Raw genomic sequence first — 27704 nt, 5'->3', positions numbered from 1 at the left:
GCTCATAAACTGAGAGGGGCGGAAGTGGGCGGGGCGAGAGCTGTGCGCCTATTGGCTACAGACCACGCCGCAGGGTGAGTGGGGCGGAGCTGCGCGTGCGCAGGGCCGCGGTGCGGCCCTGGCGGCCGTTGAAAAATGGCGACTGTGGCAGAGTTGAAGGCTGGTGAGTGCGAGCAGGGAGGCCTCCACATGGGAAGCGTCGGGCCTTCATCTTGTGGAAAGGATGGGATGGGAGGAGAGCGCGCGGAACACATGGGTTGGCTTTTACAGGCGTCATTCTTCGGTGTGAGGGCCTGCGGGGAGCGTCTGGCTGCTGTCTTGGCCCGTGCGCGGGGAGCTCTTATGGGGAAGAGGTTGCCCACTGGCGAGTTTTAAGCCAGTTTGGAGCTAAAGGAGGAGTTGCGTAATCTTCAGGCATCTAAGAGGCCTACAGGCCTGCATCTTGGGCCCCTGGCTCATCTTCTTGGACCCTGCCGGGGGCTGGAGGACTTGGACCAGGCTTGGCACTCAGGGCTGATGACTACAATTCCCACAACCCCTATTGGGTTAGGCACTGCCCTAAACAATTTGCTTGGTTGTCTCGTTGGGTCCTTACAACAACCTGTTAAGTAGCCCTCCCCTCCTTGCTTTTTTTTTTTTTTTTTAAAGAGAGGGTCTCTCTGTCGCCCAGGCTGGAGTGCAGTAGCGCGATCACAGCTCACTGCAGCTTCGAACTCCGGGACTCCAGCTATCCTCCCACCTCAGCTTCCAGAGCAGGTGGGAATACAGGGGCTCTTCACTACGCCCGGCTAATTTTTGTATTTTTTGTAGACACGGGGTCTTACTGTCGAACTCCTGGTCTCAAGCTATCCTCCTGCCTTGGCCCCCTCAAAGTGCTGGGATTACAGGTGTGAGCGCCTGGCCCCTTTTTCATCAGAAGAAACTAGAGGCAAAAAGTTTGCTGGCCTGGCCATTCTCCTGTCTTTTCAGGAAAAGATACTCTAAGCTAGTTATGTTTGAGTCATTAATGACATTTGTACGCTGTTTACTTTGAAGCAAATGTCCAGACAAGTAATAGTAATAATAGTTATCATTGAGCCTCATGTGTCAGGCACTACTCAACTCAGCCTGTGTGTTACCTGATTGTAACAACCCTATGCCCATTTCATAGACTGGGAAACGAGGTACTGAGAAGTGAAATAGCTCAAAGTGATTTCACTGGAAAGAGACACAGCATGGGAACCTAGTTGTGACGCACTGGAGCGCCAGGTCTTAATCACTGAGCAAGATTGCTGTCCAAAAAATAAAACCAGTTCCACTTTGCAGGGAACCCAGGGTTTAAACTAGTAATTCTTAGATATTTTAGGGAGGAGACGTGTATAAAAGTGTGTATTTGGGGACAGGGCTGGTGAACAATCATAAAACAGAACAGGCATGCATCTGTCCACAAGAACAGACTTCACGAGTCTACAGATGCTGTTCCCAGGGAAATACACATCACATGTAATATTGCATACATTTTCAGAGGATTTAAAGGTACACTTGGAATGGGCCAAGCACAGTGGCTCATGCCTGTAATCCTAACACTTTGGGAGGATCGCTTGAGCCCAGAAGTTTAAGACCAGCCTGGCCAACATGGTGAGACCCCATCTTTATTTAAAAAATAAAAATTAAAAAAAAGAGCCGGGCATAGTGGCCTGTGGTAGTTCCAGCTACCCCACAGGCTGAAACAGGAAGATAGCTTGAGCCCAGGAGATAGAGGTGACAATGAGCTACAGTGGTGCCACTGCACTCCAGCCTGGGCAACAAAATGAGACCTTGTCTCAAAAAAAAAAACAAATTAAAAAATAAAATAAAAAAGGTACTCTTGAAATATAAGCGAGGTTAAGACCTTTCCGAAGAAGTTTTGATGGCGCAGTGTTCTAAGCATAATAGAGGGAAAGGTAAAATGCTATGGACCTCCAAAAGAAACCCGGTGAAAACTTGTTTGCCAGCCAGTTACCTTACATTTTATGGGCATTTACCTTTTTTAAGCACGATCACGTTTTTCCTTCTTACTTGGTTCTATCTCTGAGAGGTAGAGCTCATTATTTTAGAGAAGGCAACTGAGGCATGGGTTGGTAATCCACCACTGAGGTGCTGATGAGACATGCTAGCTTTCCTCATTCCACTGTCACTAATTCTCGTTTCTCTGTCCAGTTTGAGGCTGTCCTGTGTGCAATACAGAGTAATTGGGACAGGATCCTTGCCAGTGACAAAATCTCTCCATCCAATTTCCAAAGATGGAATTAGAGAATAGGGGTTCAGTTATGATTCTAAGAGTACAATAAGGCTGTACCTTCCTTTTATGGACCTGTTACAAACTCTGATCTGGTGATAACTGTACTTAACCTATCTGCAAGAAGGTTGAAGGGATGCTTTAAAAATGAGGGGAAAGAAAGGTCAAAAGTCAGTGAAGATTCTATCTCTTTAGTCATATGATCCAGGGTTATTGTTGACGTTATTTATTGAAGCTTAGAAAGATCTTATGTCCATACTGACTTGGATAAGCTCCTGGGCTCTCTTTATGGATTTTTGTTATTGTGATGTACTTACTTGGTGCCTTTGGCAGGGTGCAGAACAGTGTTAAACTACATTGATTTCCCAGTAGTGTACAGCAATGTATTATAATCCTTCTAGGTGACACCTACTGAGCTCTTGCTCTGTTCTTGACTCTGTGGATGAGATGTGTTCATTCTCTGAAGTTGTCATTTAGCCAGTAGGAACTGTTTGAAAATAAAAGTTGCAGATCACTACAAGGGATGGTGCCAATTCAGTCCTAAGATCCCCATTATCTATACTAAGTATGTACAGCCAAATCCCATGATCATAACTGCTTTGTCATGGTGACTCTGGCTAATCAGTAAGTTAGATTTCCATTCTGCATACACATCCCTGACTCCTTAAGATGGCATTGATACAGTCACGTGGTAGATTTCTAACTAGGCTTAAAATTTCAGAATCCTACTGTTCTAAGGAATTAACTCATAGTTGTCTTTAAAACAACGAGGCCAGTGGGCGCAGTGGCTCATGCCTGTAATCCCAGTACTTTGGGAGGCTGAGGCGGGTGGATCACGAGGTCAGGAGATGGAGACCATCCTGGCCAACATAGTGAAACCCTGTCTCTACTAAAAATACAAAAATTAGCCAGTCGTGGTATCGCACACCTGTAATCCCAGCTATTTGGGAGGCTGAGGCAGGAGAATTGCTTGAACCAGGGAGCCTGGAGATTGCAGTGAGCCGAGATCGTGCCACTGCACTCCAACCTGGCGACAGAGCGAGATTGTTTCAAAATAACAACAATGAAAAACCCAACACCTTTTCACTCCCTAAAGCGTTGTGGATTATCAAAGGTTTGTGTTTTTTTTTTTGGTTGGTTGGTTGGTTGGTTGTTTTAAACAGAGTCTCACTCTTTCGCCCAGGCTAGAGTGCAGTGGCACCACCTCAGCTCACTGCACCCTCCACCTCCCAGGTTCAAGTAATTCTTGTGCCTCAGCCTCCCAAGTTGCTGGGACTACAGGTGCGTGCCACCACACCCGGCTAATTTTTTGTATTTTTTTAGTAGAGAGGGGGATTTCACCTTGTTAGCCAAGATGGTCTCAATTTGCTGATCTCGTGATCCGCCCGCCTGAGCCTCCCAAAGTGCTGGGTTACAGGCATGAGCCACCATGCCCTGCCATCAAGGTTTTTACACAGTAACCCAACAGACTTCTTTTATGGAATGTAGTTGTTTTCTTTAATCATCTTTCTAGACCAGAGGTTGTTAGTGACAAGCAGAACCTGTGTGCAGTGGCAGACACTCTTGAAAATATATGAGAGACTGGGGCTTAAGTTCAGGTCTCAGTAAGCAACTATAATCCTATCCCCCGCCTTTTCCCCTCACTAAAGAATTATGTATTGGCCGGGCACGGTGGCTGACACCTGTAATCCCAACACTTTGGGAGGCTGAGGTGGGTGGATCACGAGGTCAGGAGATTGAGACCATCCTGGCCAACACAGTGAAACCCCGTCTCTACTAAAAATACAAAAAAGAAATAGTTGGGCGTGGTGGCACGTGCCTGTAGTCCCAACTACCCTGGAGGCTGAGGCAGGAGAATTGCTTGAACCTGGGAGGCAGAGGTTGCAGTGAGCTGAGATCGTGCCACTGCACTCCAGCCTGGGTGAAAGAGCGAGACTGTGTCTCAAAAAAAATAATAAATAAAATAAAAAAGAATATGTATTAGACTACAGCCCCTGACAGTGCTGATGATGTAGGAATAAACTTGAATTTGCTCAAATATATTAAGACTAAATCACTGCAACATGAGAACTATATGTTTTAGTATAAACATGGCTGGTGGTAGTGTAATTGTTTAATAATTTGTCACAATGTTTAGATTAAGAGCTGCTTGAGAGCTGTTTTTGTACCATTTACCTTTTCAACATTTCTTTTCAAAGTATGCCTAAGAATGACAAATTTACTCTGTAACTGAAGCCTTAATATTTTATATCGAACAGTTTTAAAGGACACCTTGGAAAAAAAGGGGGTATTAGGGCATTTAAAAGCAAGGATCCGAGCTGAAGTTTTCAATGCCCTAGATGATGACCGTGAACCCCGACCATCATTGTCTCATGAAAACCTTCTAATTAATGAATTAATTCGAGAGTATTTAGAATTCAACAAATATAAGTATACAGCATCTGTCCTCATAGCAGGTAAGTGGTTATTATTTATCACATAAAATCTGTTTCTCCCCTTTCCCCAATTCTCAGAAACTGTTTATCCTAGAAATCTAATTCCCTTACCAGATAGTGCCATCTGGGTGACTGGGACACAAAAATCACATGGGTTCTTTCTGTAGCTTAAACAGATTCTTACAAGAGAAAATACATAACTAAATAATCACTTAAACTAGGCATATACTTGGAAAAATCATCTATAATTCCTGTAACCGAGAATAAACAATTGTTGACGTTTTGTCCTGTTTGCCACCAGTTTTTTCCTGTGTATTAAGCTTTAAAAATATACGCTGATTAAGTATATTATTTGTTAAAAAATAGGCTGGGTAGGTGGCTCACACCTGTAATCTCAGTGCTTTGGGAGGCCGAGGCAAGATTACTTGAGCCCAGGAGTTCGCGACCAGCCTGGGCAACACAGGGAGACCCCATCTCTGGAAAAGAGTTTTTAAAATTAGCCATGCATGGTGGCACGTGTCTGTTGTCCTAGCTGAGGCTGAGCAGGGGTCGGGGAGGGGGTGATCATGTGAGCCCATGTGCTCTGGGCTTTAGTGAGCCATGATCGCATCACTGCACTCCAGTCTGGGCAACAGAGAGAGACCCTGTCTCTTTTTTCTTTTTCCAGAGACAGAATCTCACTCTGTTGCAAAGGCTGGACTGCAGTGGTGCGATCATGGCTTATTGCAACTTTCACCTCCTGGGCTCAAGCAGTCTTCCTGCGTCAGTCTCCTGAGTAGCTGGGACCACAGGTGCATGCCTCCATGCCCAGCTAAATTTTTTTATTATTTATAGAGATGAGCTCTCACTATGTTGCCCAGCCTGGTATTGAACTCCTGGGCTCAGGTGATCCACCTATCTCACACTCCCCAAATGCTGGGATTACAGGCATGAGCCACTGCACCCAACCCCTGTCTTTTTTTTCTTTCTTTTTTTTTGAGACGGAGTCTCACTCTATTGTGATCTCAGCTCACTGCATCCTCCGCCTCCTGGGTTCAAGCAGTTCTCCTGCCTCAGCCTCCCGAGTACCTGGAACTACAGGTGTGTGCTGCCAGGCCCGGCGAATTTTTGTATTTTTTAGTAGAGACGGGGTTTCACTATATTGGACAGGCTGGTCCAACTCCTGTCTCTTAAAAGAAAAAAAACTGTCCCTGTCTATATATAGATATGTAGATATATGTCTATTTGTGTGTGTGTGTGTGTGTATCTAGATAGATAGATAGATAGATAGATAGATAGATAGATAGATAGATAGATATAATGGAGATAAAACTTTGAAATATTACTACTATGTAGTGCTTAGGTACATTTACAAATGTATGTATCTAAAAGCATGGTATTTATAAAGGACTAGGCTGGTATATTAGGTTGTTTTTGGATTGCTATAAATAAACACCTGAGACTGGGTAATTTATGAAGAGAAGAGGTTTTTTTGTATGTTTGTTTGTTTGTTTGTTTGTTTTGAGACAGAGTCTTGCTCTGTCACCCAGGCTGGAGTGTGGATTGATCTCGGCTCACTGCAACGTCTACCTCCTGGGTTCAAGTGATTCTCCTGCCTCAGCCTCCCAAGTAGCTGGGACTACAGGCCATGCCCAGCTAATTTTTTGTATTTTTAGTAGAGACAGGGTTTCACCGTTAGCCAGGATGGTCTCAGTCTCCTGACCTCGTGATCCGCCCTCCTCGGCCTCCCAAAATGTTGGGATTACAGGCGTGAGCCACCGCACCCGGTTGAAGAAAAGAGGTTTACTTGGCTCACGGTTCTGCAGACTGTACAAGCATGGCACTGGCATCTGCTTAGCTTCTGGGAGGCCTCAGGGAGCTTTTGCTCACTGCAGCAAGCACGTTACATGGTGAAGGCAGGGGCCAAGGGTGGGGAAGGTTAGTGCCACACACTTATAAATGACCTGTTCTCATGAGAACCCACTCACTGTGGTAAGGACAGCACCAGGCCATGAGGGATCCACCCCCATGACCCAAACAACTCCCGCCAGGTCCCACTTCCAACACTGGGGAGTGCGTTGCAACATGAGATTTGGGCGGAGACAAATATCCAGACTCTAGCAGCGGGAAACTCCAAACTCATCCTAGTGATAGGAGGCAGAGAATGATATTGGGGGTTGGGGGTGGGGAGATAAAGATAAATTCCCTTTATCTGTTGAATTTTATTTCTTGAGAAATAAATTTGCTCTTCAAGTGTAACAGTTATTGAGTGGTGAGAATATTTTTAATATCTTCTGCTGACTTTTAAATGTCTTCTTTCAAAAAAGTGAGGAGAGACTGGATGGATATAAATAAGTCAGAATCCTGGTTACCCCTGGACTTGGTGGGGTGGGGGATGCAGCTGGGGGTTGGTCTGAGGCACCCTGAATGTGTGTCATCGGATTCCCTCGTTTCAGGTTCCATCTCTGCTTTGACTACTTCATGCCTCAGCAAAGAAGCGAGGCCAGGAAGTAGATTTTGCAAGAGAGAATGAATTCTTTGTGAAGTTAGAATTTTTCGTTACAGATCCTTTATTTAATATTAAACATACGTCTGAACTACATAAAGACTCATGATTTTTATGGTTTAAGGATCTTTGATATCAGCATCTCTGCTTTCCTTTGTTTGTTATAGATGGCTGTATGATACCAGTTACACCCAGAAAAGAAGAAATTATGAAAATAGTGGGGACTTGGGATTCACTAGAATGAAATATAGTGACAGTAGTCAAGTTTTCATATTAAATGGTTTGGCTTTTTTTAAAAAACTGGGATATAATTTACATACAATAAAATTTACCTTTTAAACTGTACAGTTCTGTACTTTAGTCAAATGCCTGCAGTTGTGTAATTACTACCAGATCACAATCAAGATATCACCAGCCTTTTTGGCACCAGGGACTGGTTTCATGGAAGACAATTTTTCCATGGACCTGGGAGGATGGTTCGGGATGATTCAAGCATACTCCATTTATTGTGCATTTTATTTCTATGATTGTGTTGTAATATATAATGAAATAATTATAACTCACCATAATGTAGAATCAGTGGGAGCCCTAAGCCTGTTTTCCTGCAACTAGATGGTCCCATCTGGGGGTGATGGGAGGCAGTGAGAGATCATCAGGCCTTAGATTCTCATAAGGAGTGCACAGCCCAGATCCCTCGCATGTGCAGTTCACAATAGGGTTCACGCTTCTATGAGAATCTAATTCTGCCAACAGGAGGCTGAGCTCAGGCAGTGATGCTAGTGATGGGCAGCAGCTGTAAACACAGATCAAGCTTCCCTCACTTGCTTGCCCACTCCTCACCTCCTGCTGTGTGGCCCAGTTTCTAATCTGTGGCTCGGGGGTTGGGGACCCTTGCTGTAGATGGAACCGTACATGATGTAGCCTTTTGAGTCTGCCTTTTTTCACTTAGTGTAATACATTCAAGATTCAGCCATGTTTGTTTTTCCTTTGAACACTGTTCTATTGTGTGGCTGTGCTAGTTTGCTCATCTATGACCAGTTGATGGGCATTGAGTTGTTTCTAGTTTTAGCAGTTAGGAATCAAGCTGCCATAAACATTTACATACAGGTTTTTGTGAGAACATAAGTTTTCATTAATCTTGGGTAGAAAGCTAAGAGTGAGATTGCTGGGTTGTGTGGTTAAGTGCACGCTCACCTTTATAAGAAAACTGCTCAACTGTTTTCCAAAGTGCCTGTACCATTGTGCTTTCCCACCAGCAAAGTGTGAAAGTTCCAGCTGCCCCACACTTCAGGTTAACTTTAATTTTTATTTATAAGTATTGTCACCAAGTGGATATTCTTTTCAAAAATAAGTTATTGATAAACAGACTTCCAAAATTTAGTATTATAATTTGGATATAGAAATGGTATTTTTCCAACCAAACACTGGGGAATTTAAAAAGTGAATTTATGTTAAACTGTATTAAGACATGCATTTAACAAAAGAGATATTTTGAAAGTCATAAAATCACAGGCAATTTGATCTGTCTTGGTGTGTGTTGTCATCATTCTTCCAAAATCTAAAAAGTGTATGTCTGGTAAATGTGATTCTTTTCAAAATCTTATTTGCTTTTTAGTTTAATAGACTGAGTGTTCTCATGAATTTATTTCTCCCAGAATCTGGTCAACCTGTAGTTCCGTTGGACAGACAGTTTCTCATCCATGAACTAAATGCATTTGAAGAATCAAAGGATAATACAATGTAAGACATTTTTTTAAAGAAGTTTCCACATATTGTATTGAGTCATAATTGCACCATGGTGGTTTTACTTCATTTTAATTCAAGTATTTATTCAGATCTAGTGTGTGTCAAGCATTGTCCTAAATCCAGGGTGTGCAGCAGTGAATAAGTCAGATGAGATCTGTGTTTGCTGAAGCTACAATTACATGGCTTCAGAGTGACTCAGCATCTTCTTTCTGGAGTTAGCTCCTTTTGACTTCTTGATCCTTTGTCCTTCTAAGGCTTTGTTTGTTTTTTAATTTATAATTTCAACTTTTATTTGTATTTTCAAATTATTTTTGTAGAGGCAAGGCCTCGCTTTTTTGCCCAGGCTGGTCTCGAACTCCTGACCTCAAGTGATCTTCCTGCCTTGGCCTCCCAAAGTGCTAGGGTTGCAGGTGTGAGCCCTCCATGCCTGGCCTCTGAGACTTTGCCTTGTCAGTTGTTTTCTTCATATTTAACTCTTCCTTCACTCCAACTTAGGAATGTACTCAGATCTCTCCTCTCCTAAAACAAAAACAAAAACAAAAACAAAAACTATGAACTTCCAACCCCAAGCTTCTGCTCGAATACCTTTTTCTACCAAGATTACTGAATCAGCCCACTGCTTTCGTTACTATTACTCTGTCCTTTGCCCTCTGTGTACCTCCTCTCACCAACTATGCTCTTGAAAAGGAGGATGACCACTTTCTAGTTTTCTTAGTTTTTTTCTATTTCAGTGTTTCTTAAACTTTTTCTGGAGAGTCCCTGTATAGCCAAAAAAAAAAAAAAAAGTACATAGGAGACCTGAGAACATAGCTTAAAGCAGCCTTTTTTTAAATCTAGAACTTTCTTTGAAGCCTTACGTTTTCTCATCCTAAAAGTTCTTAAGGCCAAGTGAGGTATCTCGTGCCTGTAATGCCAGCACTTTGGAAGGCTGAAGTGGAAGGATCACTTGAGCTCAGGAGTTCAAGACTAGCCTGGACAACATGGGGAAACCCCATCTCTAGCCAGACGTGGTGGCTCATGCCTGTAGTCCCAGCACTTCAGAGGCTGAGGCAAGTGGATCACCTGAGGTCAGGAGTTTGAGACCAGCCTGGTCAACATGGCGAAACCCCATCTCTACTAAAAATAACAAAAAGATTAGCAAGGCATGGTGGCGTGTGCCTGTAGTCCCAGCTGCTAGGGAGGCTCAGGCATGAGAATCGCTTTAACCTGGGCAGCGGAGGTTGCAGTGAGCCAAGATCACACCACTGCACTCTAGCCTAGGTGACAGAATCAGACCCTGTCTCAAAAAAAAAAAAAAAAGTTCTGAAAGTTGTTTGCTTTACTATATAAATGTTTTAAATGACATTCCAGTTAAATCTAACTCTCCCACAAATCCTTGTGTAAAATTAATGTTCCAGGATCATATACTACCTTTGTCATTGTGTGTATAGTGAAGTCCCTGTTGCTTAGCGTAGCACTTTACACCTCTTTCTACCCGTCTGTTGTTCTATCTGCTCACACCTGATTTCTGATTATGCCTGGAAGACACTTTGCAACTTTATGCTGCTTTGCCTTGTAAACCATTCCCTTATCCTAGAAGCCCTACATCACCTTTCTCCCTCTTCTATTGGAGCATCTTAACTTCTATTGGAGCATCTTTCCTTTCTGTTGGCCCTGTTCAGATAGTAACTCCTTTATGGCATTTTCCTCTTTCTCTTCCTCTCATCTTCCCTTGTTTCTTTTTTTTTTCTTTTTTCCTTTTTGTGAGATAGGGTCTCGCTCTGTCGCCCATGCTGGAGTGCAGTGGCCCCATCTCAGCTCACCGCAATCTCCTCCTGGGTTCAACTGATTCTGCCTCAGCCTCCTGAGTAGCTGGGATTACAGGTGTGCACCACCATGCCCAGCTAATTTTTTTTCATATTTTTTTGTAGAGATGGGGTTTCACCATGTTGGCCAGGCCGGTCTCGAACTCCTGGCCTCAAGTGATCTGCCCACCTCCACCTCCCAAAGTGCTGTGAGGTTTTTTTGTTTGTTTTTTCAAGGCAGGGTTTCACTCTGTTGCCCAGGTCTCTAGAGTGCAGCGGCTTGATCATGGCTCACTGCAGCCTCGAACTCCTGGGCTCAAGCGATTCTCCCACCTCAGCCTCCCATGTAGCTGGAATTACAGGCATACGCTGGCATGCACCATCATGCCTGGCCAATTTTTGTATTTTTTTTAGAAATGGTGTTTTACCATGTTAGCCAGGCTGGTCTCCAATTCCTCAGCTCAAGTTATCCACCTACCTTGGCCTTCCAAAGTGTTGGGATTACAGGCATGAGCCACTGCACCTGGTAACAAGTGTTTTGAAAAGTATAAAAATTGTATAATTGAGAACAGTGGGAAAAATAATTGGGGGAATCTAAGCGTGACTTAGGATGAGCAGTGAGTTATTACATCATTTAATACAAGACATCATTTTACATTTAGCAGTTGATGGAAATAAGCAATGACTATTACTGGCTTCTTGGTAGCTTTTGAGATACCTACTTCAGATGAAAGTATTAAGAAGTTTGTGCTCACTTTAACAGCACATAAACTAAAATTGGAGCGGTACAGAGATTAGCATGGCCCCGGCAAAGGGATGACACGCAAATTCGTGAAATGTTTGATATTTTTTTAAAAAAGAAGGCCGGGCGCATTGGCTCACGCCTGTAATCTCAGCACTTTGGGAGGCCGAGGCGGGCAGATCACGAGGTTAGGAAATGGAGACCATCCTGGCTAACACGGTGAAACCCCGTCTCTGCTAAACATACAAAAAATTAGCCGGGCAAGGTGGCGGATGCCTGTAGTCCCAGCTACTTGGGAGGCCGAGGCAGGAAAATGGGCGTCAAACGGGGAGGTGGAGCTTGCAGTGAGCCGAGATCGTGCCACTGCACTCAGCCTGGGCGACAGAAGCGAGACTCCGTTTCCAAAAAAAAAAAAAAAAGTAAGTTTGAGAGAGGATGAGGAAGCAAAAAAAAAAGTTGCTAAAACGGCTTTATTTTTTAAAAGTTAGGTAACTTCTTTAAGCCCTTGTTTCTCACACTTCAGTGATTGGCATTCACAGAGTTTGCCATAGTCACATATTACTCATATTATTTACTTACAGATCTGCAGTGCTGCATCTGAAACCACTGAGGCCAGATACATGTTTGAAAATCCAAATGCTGTCGGGTTTTAAAATGACATGCCTGTAGTCCTAGCTACTTAGGAGGGTGAGGCAAGAAGATTACTTAAATCCAGGAGATTGAGGCTGCAGTGAGCCATGATCTTGCTGCTGCACTCCAGTGTGGGCCACACAGCGAGAGTTCTTTTTTTTTTTTTCGAGACAGAGTCTCACTCTGTCGTCCAGGCTGGAGTGCAGTGGCGTGATCTCGGCTCACGGCAACTGCCGCCTCCCAGGTTCAAGCGATTCTCCTGCCTCAGCCTCCCAAGTAGCTGGGACTATAGACGCATGCCACCACGCCTGGCTAATTTTTTGTATTTTTAGTAGAGACGGTTTCACCGTGTTAGCCAGGATGGTCTCGATCTCCTGACCTCATGATCCTCCTGCCTCGGCCTCCCAAAGTGCTAGGATTACAGGTGTGAGCCATCGGCCCAAGACTTCAATTCTTTAAAAAAAAAAAAAAAGTAATATGGTACATCTACCAAATACTACATGTATGTGCCAGGGAGTCCTAAAGTAGTATTCCACAATCACATTAATATTTTCTTTCTCTTTTTTTTTTTTTTTGAGTGCAATGACATGATCTCAGCTCACTGCAACCTCTGCCTCTTGGGTTCAAGTGACTCTTCTGCCTCAGCCTCCTGAGTAGCTGGGATTACAGGAGCATGCCACCACACCCGGCTAATTTTGTATTTTTAGTAGATACGGGGTTTCTCCATGTTGGTCAGGCTGGTCTTGAACTCCCGACCTCAGGTGATCCTCCTGCCTTGGCCTCCCAAAGTGCTGGGATTACAGGCTTGAGCCACCACACCCAGCACATTAATGTTTTCACACAAAGTAAGATAAAGTCTGTAATAGCCTTGTTAATAGCCTTGTTAGGTCAACCCTTGCCATCTGATGATTTTTTGCCAGATATATGAAGAGAATCCAGTTTTCAGAATTTTGCATTTCAGAATTACAGGCAAGTTATTGTGAGGCCGCACTTTTCTTTATCTTTTTGAAACTTATTTTAAAAGATAAACCTTAATCCATGAATTTGCAAGTTGCCTCTCCCTTCTGCACTCAAGCGATCCTCTCACCTCAGCCTCCCAAGTAGCTGGGACCACAGGTGCATATTACCTTCTGTGGCTAATTTAAAATAAAATTGCTGTAGAGCTAGGGGACTCGCTATGTTGTTCAGGCTGTCTCAAACTCCTGTTTGAGGCCAGGCTGGCCCCCCAAAGTCCTGGGATTACAGGCCTGAGCCCCCATGTCCAACCCAAAATTTTAATCACAAGTACATTTTTTTGAATATTTATTTAAAAAATAAAACTTTTAACATTTAAAAATCATCTTGAACCAGTTAACACTTTGGGGAAGATTAAAGTAAACAAAGAGACCTGTTTTATATTACTAGGTGACGCTTTCATAAGAGTTGCGGCATCTTATTAAATAAAGAAACTTACTTTCCTGGTTTCCCTGTGGCATGGAAAAATTAGTGTGATATTATTCCAGAATTTGGTAGCTTAGAACAACAACATAGATTATTTGTGGAATATTCGGGGATTTGGGATTGGCTTAGTCACGTAAGTCTAGCTCAGGCTCCCCCTTGAGGTTGGAGTCAAGATGCCAGCCAGGGTTGTAGTCGGAAGCCTTGAATGTGGCTGAACTATCTGCTTCCAAACTCATAATGATATTGACAGGCGGCCTCAATTCCTTACTGCATGTAACTTTCCAGGGCTGCTGAAGTGTCCTGAGGCATCTGACTTCTCCCAAAGGCAGCAATCCAAGAGAGAAAGCAAGGAGGAAGCTGCAGGGCCATTACCACGTGGCCTCTGAAGTCAGCTTTGTGCCAGTTAGAAGTGAGTTCAGCTCACACTCAGAGGGCAATGAGATTCCATCTTTGGAAGGGAGCGTCGTACTGTAAACCATTATACCAGCTAGTAAATAGATACATATCTCAAAAAATAAATCCTCCCCACAAATATATACACCTACTATGTACCCACAAAAATTAAAAATAAAGATTAAATCCTTTTAATTGTGTTTTCAAATTTGAGATTGGAAACAAAGGAAAACATTTCCATTGTACCACTCTTGATTGTCAGCAGAGCAGCTTTCCTTGATGCAAGAGTACTAATATAAATTCCCAGGCAGCACACTGTAAGGAAAACAATATGGGATTTGGGGTTCAAGTGTAAACTTTGTTTACTATCTGGGGGAATCTCTAGCAAATCTCCTGGCTGTGGTTTTCTCCTTTATAAATTGCAGTTGATGATCTTGACATTACACGATGAGGATTAGATGAGAAGAGGTATACGTTCTGTAAACTATAAAGAAGATTTTAAAATAATAGGTAATGTAAATATTAATCTAAATAAATGTTAGCTACACAGGAGCTAACATTTATATACCATTTCATATGTGCCAGGCACAGTAAAAAACACTTGACATTTATTAACTCATTTAGTGCATAACAGCCCTATAAGGGAGGGACGGTGCTTATCCTAATTTATAAAGGAAGAAACATTTATGAGGCTGGAGAGGTTAAGAATCTTACACAGAGTCCCACAGCTAGCAAATGGCAAAGCCAGAATTTGAACTCAGGTCACCTGGCTCTCAGGACCTAAGACTTTTTCAGGGCAAGGACTTATTAATCAAGAGGTGTTTATTGAATACCTGTTGTGTATTAGATGGGGTTAGGTATTGGGAAATACTCTACTGGACTTTGGAGTTTAAAAGAGATTCCTGTGGATTGATAGAAATGATATTTCAGTGTAGATGAGGTTTAAGTTGTTAACATGTTTTCTCTGGGTTTTAAAATTGTCATGAAATTAAGTGGTACTCTTAAATTTAAAAGTATGAACAATTTGCATTTTGGATAATCATGCCGCTTTTTAAAGTCTAGTGAATCACTTGGTCTTTTTGATGTCAGAGGTTACCTTTTAAAGAATAAATGTTTTAAGCTTTTCCCGTTTATGCAGATTTATTAGCTTTTGGTTTTGTTTTGTTTTCTTCCTGCTATAGACCTCTTTTATATGGGATTTTAGCCCATTTCTTGCGTGGAACTAAGGATGGCATCCAGAATGCATTTCTGAAAGGGCCTTCACTTCAGCCTTCAGACCCAAGTCTTGGCAGACAACCTAGTAGAAGAAAGCCAATGGGTATGAGTTTTCCAAGATTCATCATTTAGCTGTCAGCAAATATGTTTTCTTCCTATATATTTTTCTTTTGGAGTCTTTACTGAGCTTTTGAGTCATAGTTTAATTCTGCTTATATCTAATATGTCTAGCCTATGTTACTCCAAGAAACAGAATGCTTTTTGTAAAGAATCTTGGACAGGGAAGGGTGGGAGGCATAACTGGGCAGAATTCTTAGATGTAATTTCTTTATAGAAGTATTTAAAACTCTGGGCTAGGCACAATGGCTCATGCCTGTAATCCCAGCAGTTTGGGAGGCCGAGGCAGGTGGATCGCTTGAGGCCAGGAGTTTGAGACTAGCCTAAGTGACATGGTGAAACCCCATCTCTATTTTTTTAATTAAAAAATTATATTAATTAAATTTAAAAAAAAACAAAAAAATACTGAAAACTCCAATTTTCATGTAAATTGTAAGTATTTGGAGCAGCTTAGATCCTTGGTATACTGAATAAATAGCTTTTTATCAAGTGATTATTTTTTTTCCTCTCCATGACTGCAAAATAAAAGGTAAGATTGCTAAATACAGATAGAGAAGTCATTTGCATTTTTAGGATACTGTTTATGTTACAGTGGAAGTTACCTACAAGTTACAGATTGTTAGGAGAATCGCCCACATTTCTTTCAGATTGCCTGTTTTTTAAATGAGCTTTTGGTAGCTTTTAAATTTTTATGTATTTTTTTGAGACATAAAAATACATAAATTTTTATGTATTTTTTTGAGACATAAAAATACATAAATTTTTATGTATTTTTTCTAGTCACTCTGTCGCCTGACTAGAGTGCAGTGGTGCTATTATAGCTCACCGTAACCTTGAACTGCCGGGCTCAAGCAATCCTCTCACCTTCTTGCCTCAGCTTCCCAAGTAGCTAGGACTTCAGGCACCACACCCAGCTAATTTTTTAATTTTTGTGGACATGGAAGTCTCAACCGTGTTCACTAGGCTGGTCTTGAACTCGGTCTTAAGTGATTTCCCACCTCAGCCTCTCAGAGTGTGGGGGTTACAGGCACGAGCCTGTACCTGGCCCTGACTTATTTTGATTATCCCAGCAATGGGATCCCATTTTCACCATTTGAATTGAGTGGGTTATAGCTCAGTGTTTTCAGTTGTGGTAGAGAGCTGATCAATTTTTTTTTTTTTTTGAGACAGAGTCTCGCTCTGTCGCCCAGGCTAGAGTGTAGTGGTGTGATCTCGTCTCACTGTAAGCTCTGCCTCCTGGGTTCATGCCATTCCCCTGCCTCAGCCTCCCAAGTAGCTGGGACTACAGGCGCCCATCACCACACTCGGCTAATTTTTTGTATCTTTAGTGGAGACAGGGTTTCCCTGTGTTAGCCAGGATGGTCTTGATCTCCTGACCTCATGATCCGCCCACCTTGGCCTCCCAAAGTGCTGGGATTACAGGCTTGAGCCACCGCGCCCAACCAAGAGCTGGTCAATTTTTAAGGACAGTTAAAGGTGGGGTTTAGGCTGCCAATTATCAGAACAAATGTAAATCTTGAATGTTGACACGAACTTTTAGGAAACTTTTAGGAAACGCCTAAAATGTGGATTGCCTTTGTAGTTTCCTAAACTGCTATGACCAGTAGTGACCGTGTTAGATGCTTGGTGTCTCTTGAGGTCTGAAAGTAAACAGTGAATCAGGATAACCTATTTTGGAGGTGGTTTCTGACTGCACTAGGAGATATCTTTCTATATATATTAGAATGCTGAACTGGATGGAACGTTGGAAAATAAGTCATTCCCATCTACTTATTTCATAGTTGAGAAAACTTTAAGAAGGTTCCAATACTAAGAGGTTAAGTAACTCAACTAAGACCTGTAGCAGATAATTAGTAGCAGAATCAGCACATTTGATTGCTGTTCCCGTATACCTTTCCACATATAGATTATGGAGAAGTTTTCCAAATTCTCTTTTTAGGGATTGGTAAGGAACTGACATTACTGCCTACTAATTGGCAAGTACTTAACGAGCAAAATAAAACATTAATAGTGCAAGTACATGAGTAAATCTCTAAATTTTTTAAATAGTAAAAAGTTCCCTTTAACTTTCCTTTCTTCCTTCTTGCCTCTCCCTAACTCCTCAATTCTTCTCCCTTTTTATAGAAGGTGTCCCTGTTAGCAGTTTGCAGGGTATTCTTTGGGACTCATTTCTATTTTATTTTATTTATTTTATTTTATTTTATTATTATTATTTAAATTTTAGATGGACTGTCACTCTGTCACCCAGGCTGGAGTGCAATGGCACAATCTCACCTCACTGCAACCTCCGCCTCCCAGGTTCAAGTGATTCTCCTGCCTCCCAAGTAGCTGGGGCTGCAGGCATGTGCTACCACACCCGCCTAATTTTTGTATTTTTAGTAGAGATGAGGTTCACTGTGTTGGCCAGGCTGGTCTCCAACTCATGACCTCAGGCAATCCACCCCCCTTGGCCTCCCAAAGTGCTGGGATTACAGGTGTGAGCCACTGCATCTGGCCATGCCCAGCCCCTTCGGGACTCATTTCTGTGTATTTAAATATATATACATTGTTATGGTGCACGTTATCCTGCAATTTGCTTTTTTTTACTTGTTGATACGTGTAGATCTCGTTTTTAACTTTGTTTCATATTCCAGAGTATTATTACAATCATCCTTTTTTTAATTTTAGAGATGAGGTCTTACTCTGTCATCCAGGTTGGAGTGCAGTGGCACAATCATAGCTCACTGTAGCCTCAAACTCCTGGGATCAGTCTTTCCACATCAGCATCCCAAGTAGCCGGGACTATAGGGGTGCACCACTGCACCTCGCTTATTTTTTAATTTTTTGCAGTCAGGGTCTTGTCCTGTTGCCCAGGCTACTCTCCCACCTTATAATCACTCTTATTTAGTTTTAAATATTTTGCTTTTACGGTATTGTGATGTAACATTGTATCTTTGTCCACACATTACAGTATTGTGATGTAACATTGTATCTTTGTCTACACGTTTCTCTTGTGTGGATGCCTAAAGTAGAGTTGTTGGTTCAAAGGATATGCATATTTAAAAATGTAGTAGATATTGTCTAATTCCCCTCCAAAAAGGCTTTATCAGTCTATACACTTACCAAGAATATATGACAATATGAGTTTCTGAGTTCAGTTGTCACCAGTGGATATTGTACACCTTAACACTTCTTAACACAGCAACCCCAAGTCATTGATACTATCAGTCCCATAAAGAAAAATAACCGCTTGAGAAATAACTTTCTGGTTTGTAAGTTTCATAATCAGCCTTGTTAATACTCACGGCTCATGACTAGTAAGAAAGTTATAAGGAACACTATTTCCTAACCAATTTCTGTTCTTCTGAGATGAAAGCGGTAGATTACGCATACACCATAGAGAGAAAGGTATTTATGGAGGGAGGGAGGGAAAGAGACACCTAGACACACGACCTGTACACCACTAAAGTGCCAGGAACATCAGAATCGAGTTCAAGTCAGTAAAGCCACCTTGGGTGCCTGTTCTGTGGAAAGCTCTGCAGACAGCTCAGAAATGAGGATGACTGCTGAATGAATCGGGGAAGAACAGTGATTTTGCAAATTATTTTCTTGGTCATCAAAAATTTTATTGACACAACCTCTTTGTGTAGTGCCTTGAAAGTTGTCAGCCAGAACTGCATCATGTTTCAGTAACACACTTAAGCTTTCCATTTACTTCCTCAACTCTAGCTTACTGTCTCCGTAACTCTTATTTGACAGCATTGAAAAGGTTATGAAGATACTAAAATCCTTATTCTACATCACAGCACCTTGTCTCCACAGAAGCTCATTCAACAGAAATATCAAACCCTGAAACTAAATTGGCTTTTACTTGAAAATAAGTTCAGGCCAGGCCACGGCAGCTCACCCCTGTAATCCCAGCACCTTGGGAGGCCTAGGTGGGCAGATCACTTGAGGTCAGGAGTTCGAGACCAGCCTAGCCAACATGGTGAAACCCTGTCTCTACTGAAAATACAAAAATTAGCTGGACGTGGTGGTGTACGCCTGTAGTCCCAGCTACTCGGGAGGCCGAGGCAGGAAAATCGCTTGAACCCAGGAGGTGGAGGTTGCAGTGAGCCGAGATTGCGCCACTACACTCCAGCCTGGGCGACAGAGCGAGACTCTGTCTCAAAAAAAAAAAAAAAAAAGGAAAGAAAGAAGTAAGTCCAAAGCATGCCAAGATGAAAAAGTGCTTCTCTCATCCAAGTTTTCAGTGCTGAAAAAAAATGAAGAGGGTTTATGTAGGCACACCCACCTTTGAAATGACAGCCAGTGCATTTGTACTGCTGCTGTTAGTGCTTGTAATCTTGAAGGCAAAGTAGTTTTTGCTATTCAACTTTATATATATATACACACACACACATTTTTTTTCTTTTTTTTTTTGTTTTTAAGAGATAGGGTCTCACTCTGTCTCCCAGGCTGGAGTGCAGTGACACAATCATGGCTCTCTGCAGCCTTGACCTCACAGGCCCAGGTGATCCTCCCACCTCAGCCTCCCAAGTAGCTGGGACTACAGCTGGGACTACATTCCTGGCGAAGATTTTTATTGTAAATGAAAGACCAGATTTTTATAATAGGGACAGTCATCAGCTTAACTTTATTGCACATCTATCAAGCATAGTAGACTTCATTTTTTATAACACTTTTCTAGAAGACCTAAAATTGTTACCTTCTGAGGAAATTGTTAATTTTTTTTCTGTCCAGCAAAGTTACCTAAAATAAAGGGAGAGAGATTTCCATCTGTTTTCCAGACCCTTAAAGTAGTATTGGCACTGAGAATAAGCAGCTGAGAACTAATAAAGCGTGTGTATAATCACATTGTAGAATTAGAAAACCCAGTGATAAAATTGCATTTTCTAGCAGCTTATCTAAATTTATGTATATATTTTTTCCTATTATCAAAGTTGTTGCAAGAAAGATGTTTTATCAGTTGTAGAAAGTGTTTGGGGTTCATATATTCTCAAGAATCTAGTTTTTGCATTACATTTTTGTTGCATTAGGATATTAAGTCTCTAGGTTCTTTTTTTTTCTTCTCGAGACAAGAGTCTTGCTCTGTCGCCCAGGCTGGAGTGCAGTGGCACGATCTCGGCTCACTGCAACCTCCACTTCTGAGTTCAAGCGATTCTCCTGCCCTCAGCCTCCCAAGTAGCTGGGATTGTAGGTGCCCGCCACCACGCCTGGCTAATTTTTATATTTTTAGTAGAGACAGGGTCTCTATCTCCTGACCTCAGGTGATCTATTTGAAGTGGTTTTCATTGTGTTGTAATTGAAGAGCTTTGGCAACCCTCAAAATGCTGATTGAACACCTTGTCCTTTCTTGCAAATTTCATTCCTTACATGTAAGAGAGAGGTTTGTAACTACTTATGCATGGGTTTACTGCAGGTTGTACTCTACTCAAAAAAAAAGTCAAGAAACTCTTTTGAATAATTAGAGTCCCTAATGCCAGACATTTCTGATTTCTTTCTTTTTTTTTTTTTTTTTTTTGAGACCGAGTTTCACTCTTGTTGCCCAGGCTGGAGTGAAATGGCACGATCTTGGCTCACTGCAACTTCTGCCTCCCAGGTTCAAGCAATTCTCCTGCCTCAGCCTCCCGAGTAGCTGGGATTACAGGCGCCTGCCACCACGCCCGGGTAATTTTTGTATTTTGAGGAGACACGGGGTTTCACCATGTTGGCCAGACTAGTCTATAACTCTTGACCTCAGGTGATCCACCCACCTCGGCCTCCCAAAGTACTGGGATTACAGGCGTGAGCCACCACGCTTGGCCTCTGATTTCTTCAATAGTGTTTAAAAAATAATGGGTTTTTTTCATTGTCCTAAACCATCTAAAGTACTCATAGAATATTAAATATGTAACATCCTAAGATATTTGTAGCTATGTCTACCTATCTGTGTGTTTTGACTTGGGATAAGTATTAACATTGGTTTCTGTGCATTTCAGATGACCACCTAAGAAAGGAGGAACAGAAAAGTACTAACATTGAAGATCTTCATGTTTCTCAGGCAGTCAACAGATAATGCTTTGTTTGGGGTATCTTTTGTCTTAAAATTGTATTATTAATTAAATAACTTATTTATTGTCCCAATGTTACCAAAATGCACCACTAATGTTTGTAGAAATTGGAGTTTCTACAAAACACCCCTCATGTTTAACTACATTTGTGAATAAAAGCTAACTCTTGTCATCTAGCTTATTGGATTTGACTTGAAAAAAAAAGTATTGTTTTTACGAAGTATTTTTTGTTTTTTTGAGATGGAGTCTCGCTCTGTCACCCAGACTGGAGTGCAGTGGCACGATCTCGGCTCACTGCAATCTCTGCCTCCCGGATTCAAGTGATTCTCCTGCCTCAGCCTCCCAAGTAGCTGGGAAAACAGGCCTGTGCCACCACACCGGAGTAGTTTTTGTATTTTTAGTAGAGATGGGGTTTCACCATGCTGGCCAGGCTGGTCTTGAACTCCTGACCTCAGGTGATCTGTGTGCCCCAGCCTCCCAAAGCGCTGGGATTACAGGTGTGAGCCACTGAGCCCAGCCATTTAGGAAGTATTATAAAGGCCCTTAAAGTTTGTAAGGAAATGAAAGGGCTTTGTATTACCTTTTCAATAGGCAACAATGTACTTTTTCTTTCCTTAGACTTTGGCTTACTGGAAGATTTAATTAAAAGGTAGAGGAGAAGTAAATTTGCTGTAATAATTTTGCTGTAAATAAAACAAAGAGTTTATTTTATTAGATAAAGAATGTGAAGTAAGCATGAAGAGACAGGCTTTGGGAGAAATACCAGAAAGGGATTTTTCAAAGATGGCATTGTTTAATCTCCGTGTGGCCCTCGGTTGTGCAATCACAGATGAGCCAGAAGAGGGCCAGCCCCCTACTTGTTTGGGCTCCGAAACTCTTACCAAACATCAATTTTTATTCTTGGGATAGAAAAATAGTATGTGCTATCTCTAATACGCTACTTCGATATTTATTAAAGAAGTATTTTTAATGTAGTGTCCACAGGCTCATTTCATTGAAAACAACTGACTATGATGATAGACAGCTCCTGATTGGCAAAAGTTCGATGGTATATTCAGAATTAAATTTTGCCTGCACACCTAAACACTGACAACATTTAGCTTAAAGGTTTTCCATGGAGAAGAGTGGTAAGAGCTGTAGTTAGCAAAATTGGCATCCTCTTTAGGGTGTCAATTCTGTGCTGCTTTGCAAATTGTTGAAACTTTTGATTTTCTGTTTGGCAATGCTAGTCAGTGTTCACTTCTTACAGATTAGCCAAGAATTTTTATCTAAATGCAGAAACTTATTAATGAAATCCATTTAAACTATACTTACACAACATTTTGGGAGGCCCTGCTGGTAAAATTATATATGGATGCAGAAGTATTGCAAGAGTCCATTTTCCATTTTTAAATCTGCAATATCTGATTACATTGATGAATTCCGTTGTATTGTATGTGTGAATATAAATATCTGAATTCTCCCGGGGGACTTGGTTTTCGTCCAAGGATGTTGGCAGTGGACACTTAGTTTACCTCAGGAATTGCAATCATGTAAGACTATATTCGGAAAAAATGCTGGAGTATATAATTTTGGATACTGATATAAAATCATCAAGATGGAAGTTAAGCAGAATTGTCACGTGTAGTCCATAGCGCTTTTATATGCATTATTCTGTAATTTGTTTGTACTGCGGCAACTTTTTATACTTTCAATGTATCATTTAATAAAAAAAATAAGCAAGTCACTTTGGTGCAAAGGGTGTTCATATCACTGTTCTCTCATCAAAAGCCACACATCAAAAACAGAAGAATGATTGGAGATGGCTGCCATGCCTTCCGTCGGGATCTTCAGAAGCTTCGCTGTTGAGGGGTGGAGGCGGGGGTACTTTCCTGCCGTCTGCACATGTTTATAGGAAGGAAGGAAAAGCACAGAGGACAAGCCAACCCTTCTCATAAATGTGTTATATTTAAGTACCTTACTCGTGGGTTTCTTGGAATTGTCGGGAGAACTTATCTTCTAGAGATGCTCCAGAAGTTTTAGGAGAAAACTTGGATTTACACAAAAACAGGATGGGAATGGGAACTGAAGAGGGATTTAGGAAATGTACAACTTGGGTGATCTAAAACCTCATAGCAGGAGCAGAGGTGGCTTTTGAAGAAGATAAATTTAAGCTTAGTGTATATGCTTGCACAGAACAAACTAATAGCCTTATAATGATGTGCAAGAACACATTTGTGTATCACTCACATACCTTTATGTTGATGTAAAATTTGATGTGTTCTTTTAAAGCCAAGTGTACATGAAAGATGAACATTTGTGAGAATATGCCTTTAAAGGCATTTGGGACAATGCTTCCCGGCCACTTGGTACTTGATTTTTTGGTAACAACCACGATTCGAGGATTGTGTGGTGTTCAGGAATCTTATTAAAATAAAAGTGAAATAAAACTGCTGGCCAGGCTTGGTGACTCAGGCCTGTAATCCCAGCACTTTGGGAGGCCGAAGCGGGTGGATCACCTGAGGTCAGGAGTTTGAGACCAGCCTGACCAATATGATGAAACCCCATCTCTACTAAAAATTAAAAAATTAGGCGCGGTGGCATGCGCCTGTAATCCCAGTTACTCAGGAGGCTGAGACAGGAGAATCACTTGAACTGTGGAGGTGGGGGTTGCAGTGAGCTAAGATCGAGCCATCGCACTCCAGCCTGGGCAACGAGTGAAATTCCGTCTCAAAAAATAAAAAATAAAAAAAAAAAAGCTACCTTTAGGCTGGGCATGGTGGCTCACGCCTGTAATCCCGGCACTTTGGGAGGCCAAGGCGGGCGTATCACCTGAGGTCAGGAGTTCGAGAGCAGCCTGGCAAACATCGCAAAACCCTATTTCTACAAAAAATACAAAATTAGCCAGGCGTGGTGGCATGTGCCTGTAATCCCAGCTACTGGGGAGGCTGAGGCAGGAGAATCGCTTGAACCCAGGAGGCGGAGGTTGCAGTGCGCTGAGATCACGCCATTGCACTCCAGCCTGGGCGACAGAGTGAGACTATTCTCTGGAAAAAAAAAACAAAACAAAACTACTTTTATAAAAGTAGACTCGTTTTTTAGAGCAGTTTTAGGTTCATGGCTAAATGGACTGGAAGCACAGAGCTCCTGACTGCCCCCTGCACCCATGCATGTCTAGCTTCTCCCACTGTCAAGATCCGGCATCGAGTGGCACATGTATTCCAATGGGTGGATCTATTTTGACACATTATTATCACAAAAAGTCCATAGTTACATTAGGGTTCACTCTTGGTATTGTACAGATGCTCTTTGACTCATGGGATTACATCTCAAAACTATCACAAGTTGAAAATAAGTCAAAATGCATTTATTTATTTATTGGATAGGGTCTCACTCTAGCACCCAGGCTGCAGTGCAGTTGTGCGATCTGGGCTCACTGCAACCTCCGCCTCCAAGGCTCAAGTGGTCCTTTGCCTCAGTCTCCTGAATAGCTGGGACTATAGGCACATGCCACCACACCTGGTGAATTTTTGTATTTTTTGTAGAGACAGGATCTCACTATGTTGCCCAGGCTGGTCTCGAACTCCTGAATCCAAGTGATCTGCCCATCTTAGCCTCACAAAGTACTGGGATTACAGATGTGAGCCACCATGCCCAGCCCAAAATGTATTTAATACACCTCACCTACCGAGCATCTTAGCTTAGCCTAGCCTACTTAACATGTTCAGGTCACTTAGATTAGCCTACCATTGGGCAAAATTATCAAACACAAATCCTATTTTATAATAAAGTGTTGACCATCTCATGTAATTTATTGAATACTGTATTGAAAGTGAAAAAACATGGTTTTGTCGGTATTCAAAGTACGGTTTCACTGAATGCACCATTTTCCCACCTTCATAAAGTTGAAAAATCGTTAAGTTTAACCATTATAAGTTGGGGACTGCCTGCACATTCCATGGTTTTGGACAGATGTCTAGTGACATGTATTCACCATTTTAGTATCATGCAGAGGAGTGTCACTGCCCTAGAAAATCTTCTCTACTCCACCTATTCCTGTCTCTTCCAGAATGTTGTATAGTTGGAATCGTACAGTACGTGGCCTTTTCAGATTAGCATCTTTCATTTAGTAACAAGCATTTAAGTTTTCTTCCTGCCTTTTTTTTTTTTTAGACAGAGTCTCGCTCTGTCACCCAGGCTGGAGTGCAGTGGTACGATCTCGGCTCACAGCAAACTCCATCTCCCTGATTCAAGCGATTCTCCTGCTTCAGCCTCCTGAGTAGCTCAGATTACAGGTGTCCACCATCACACCTGGTTAATTTTTGTATTTTTAGCAGAGACAGGGTTTCACCATGTTGGCCAGGCTGAACTCGAACTCCTGACCTCAGCTGATCCATCTGCCTTGACCTCCCAAAGTGCTGGGATTACAGGCATGAGCCACAATGCCCAGCTGTAATTTTCCTTCGTCTTTTCATGCCTTGATAGCTCATTTGTTTTTAGCACTGAATAATATTCCATTGTTATGTATCCATTCACCTACTGAGGGACATCTTGGCTGCTTCCAAGTTTTGGCGATAGTGAGTAAAGCTGTTATAAACTTCATGTGCGTGCAGGGTTTTGTATGGACAGAAGTTTTCAACTCTTTTGGGCAAATCCTAAGAAGAATTTTCTGGATTATATGGTAAGAGCGTGTTTGTTTTTGTTTCTGTTTGTTTGTTTGTTTTTGTTTTTTTATTGAGACGGAGTTTCACTTTTGTCGCCCAGGCTAGAGTGCAATGGCATGATCTTGGCTCACTGCAACCTCTGCCTCTCAGGTTCAAGCGATTCTCCCACCTCAGCCTCCTGAGTAGCTGGGATTACAGGCGCCCGCCACCATGCCTGGCTAATTTTTGTGCTTTTAGTACAGATGGGGTTTCACCATGTTGGCCAGGCTGGTCTCGAACTCCTGACCTCAGGAGATCCACCTGCCTCAGCCTCCCAAAGTGCTGGGATTACAGGCGTGAGCAACCGTGCCCTGTGTGTTTCATTTTTAAAAAACTGTAGAACTACTTTTATTGAGAGTTTTAGGACCCTTCCTGATAGACATAGAGAATCTATCAGGAATGTCATGAACCAAATCGTGACATCAGAATTGGAAACTGATGATGAAGGAAAGAGCATTGCAGGTTACTATGCAATGCAGTCTAGTATCGGGAGAAGTGTGAGGTCCATCATGGGGGCCACCATGAGTGAAACAAAAGTGCTTTTGTGCAAGAGTTGGAGCATGGCCCTGCTTGTGGTCAGGAACGATGTTCCTTTATTCACAGATCTTGGGCCAGATCTACCTGACTCTATATGAGTCAAGTAGATCAAGGCTGATAACACTTTAAAATTATTAAATCTTCTTTTTTTTTTTTTTGAGATGGAGCCTCTCTCTCTAGCCTAGGCTAGAGTGCAATGGTGTGATCTTGGCTCACTGCAACCTCCACCTCCCAGGTTCAAGGGATTCTCCTGTCTCAGCCTCCCAAGTAGCTGGGACTACAGGCGTGCACAACCACACCCGACTAGTTTTTGTATTTTTAGTAGTGATAGGGTTTTACCATGTTGGCCAGGCTGGTCTCGAACTCCTGACCTCAAGTGTTCCCTCCACCTTGGCCTCCCAAAGTGCTGGGATTACAGGTGTGAGCCACTGTGCCCGGCCAAAAAATATTAAATCTTGAGGCACATGCAGGAGTAAGCCATGCTCAGACCCAATCTTCGATGTTACTAAAAATTGGAGGGGATCACACTTCATGGTTTTGTTTTGTTTTGTTTTTTTGAGACAGGGTCTTGCTCTGTTGCCCAGGCTGGAGTGCACTGGTACGATCACAGTTCACTGCAGCCTCAAACTCTGGGGCTCAAACAATCCTCCTACTTCACTCTCTAGTTGGGACTACAGGCACACACTGCTGTGCTCGACTAATTATTATTATTATTATTATTATTATTATTATTATTATTATTATTATTTTGTAGAGACAGGGATCTTGCTATGTTACCTAGGCTGTTCTTGAACTCCTGGGCTCAAGCGATCCTTCCGCTGCAGCCTCTCAAAGTGCTAGGATTACAGGCATGCCCAGCCACTTTGGGGCTTTTTTAAGCCAACAGCAAAAAAAGACTATAAGAGAGAAATTTCCCCTTGGCTGTCTTGTTTCATGGATTCGTGGAAACTCCCATTAAACAGCCGGTCACAGAAAAAGATATGCCAAGGAAAATTACTTGACAGCACTCAGTCAAAGTGACATTTTAAAAAGAGACTATTGCCTCCTCCATCTTAAAAGAACTGACCTTTTGAGCCATGAGAAATGAAACAGAGGCATCTGATCGAATGATAACAATGCACTTCTGAAGATTCAAACATCGGAACTTCATGCATTGGACACATATCTATTGAATGACTCTTAAGTGAACATACTGTCCCTGCCTGCTTC

At 42.2% G+C, this 27704-nt stretch overlaps 1 protein-coding gene and 1 pseudogene across 9 annotated transcripts, besides 2 other annotated features; both read left to right on the top strand.

Annotated features, from left to right (window-relative positions):
• Window positions 1-117: 117 nt before the first annotated feature.
• On the top strand, window positions 118-23002 carry CEP20 (centrosomal protein 20). Of its 9 annotated transcripts, none has more exons than NR_130756.2 (6): window positions 118-163; window positions 4516-4713; window positions 5673-5772; window positions 8833-8917; window positions 15094-15230; window positions 21205-23002. NR_130756.2 is itself a non-coding variant. In NM_001304499.2 (6 exons), the coding sequence occupies exons 1-6, from the start codon at window positions 136-138 to the stop codon at window positions 21279-21281; spliced, it is 597 nt and encodes a 198-aa protein (NP_001291428.1). In that variant the 5' UTR covers window positions 118-135; the 3' UTR covers window positions 21282-23002. The 9 variants fall into 9 exon arrangements, 6 of the variants coding, with proteins under 6 accessions (NP_001291428.1, NP_653201.1, NP_001291431.1 ...); NM_001304499.2 differs by having other exon boundaries at window positions 5701-5772; NM_144600.4 differs by lacking the exon at window positions 5673-5772.
• Window positions 8690-9889: an enhancer, noted in NCBI's record as "BRD4-independent group 4 enhancer chr16:15972689-15973888 (GRCh37/hg19 assembly coordinates)". NCBI's record gives its function as "activates an origin of replication core promoter dependent on BRD2, P300/CBP, MED14 and CDK7 cofactors, and independent of BRD4, by STARR-seq in HCT116 cells {active_cell/tissue: HCT116}" and the evidence as "EXISTENCE:reporter gene assay evidence [ECO:0000049][PMID:35650434]".
• Window positions 8955-9249: an enhancer, noted in NCBI's record as "tiled region #12091; HepG2 Activating non-DNase unmatched - State 14:Gen5'". NCBI's record gives its function as "activates a minimal TATA promoter and a strong SV40 promoter by Sharpr-MPRA in HepG2 cells {active_cell/tissue: HepG2}" and the evidence as "EXISTENCE:reporter gene assay evidence [ECO:0000049][PMID:27701403]".
• RNU6-213P (RNA, U6 small nuclear 213, pseudogene) lies at window positions 11455-11558 on the top strand (annotated as a pseudogene).

This window comes from Homo sapiens, chromosome 16 (assembly GCF_000001405.40).
Source record: "Homo sapiens chromosome 16, GRCh38.p14 Primary Assembly".
Lineage (NCBI taxonomy): Eukaryota > Metazoa > Chordata > Mammalia > Primates > Hominidae > Homo > Homo sapiens.
This window is presented reverse-complemented; position numbering and strand designations above follow the sequence as displayed.

Coding starts and splice junctions, on each gene's coding strand:
- CEP20 (NM_001304499.2), top strand. CDS start 136: ATGGCGACTGTGGCAGAGTTGAAGGCTG. Junction 164..4,515: donor TGTGGCAGAGTTGAAGGCTG/GTGAGTGCGAGC, acceptor TATATCGAACAG/TTTTAAAGGACACCTTGGAA. Junction 5,773..8,832: donor CCGAGTACCTGGAACTACAG/GTGTGTGCTGCC, acceptor TATTTCTCCCAG/AATCTGGTCAACCTGTAGTT.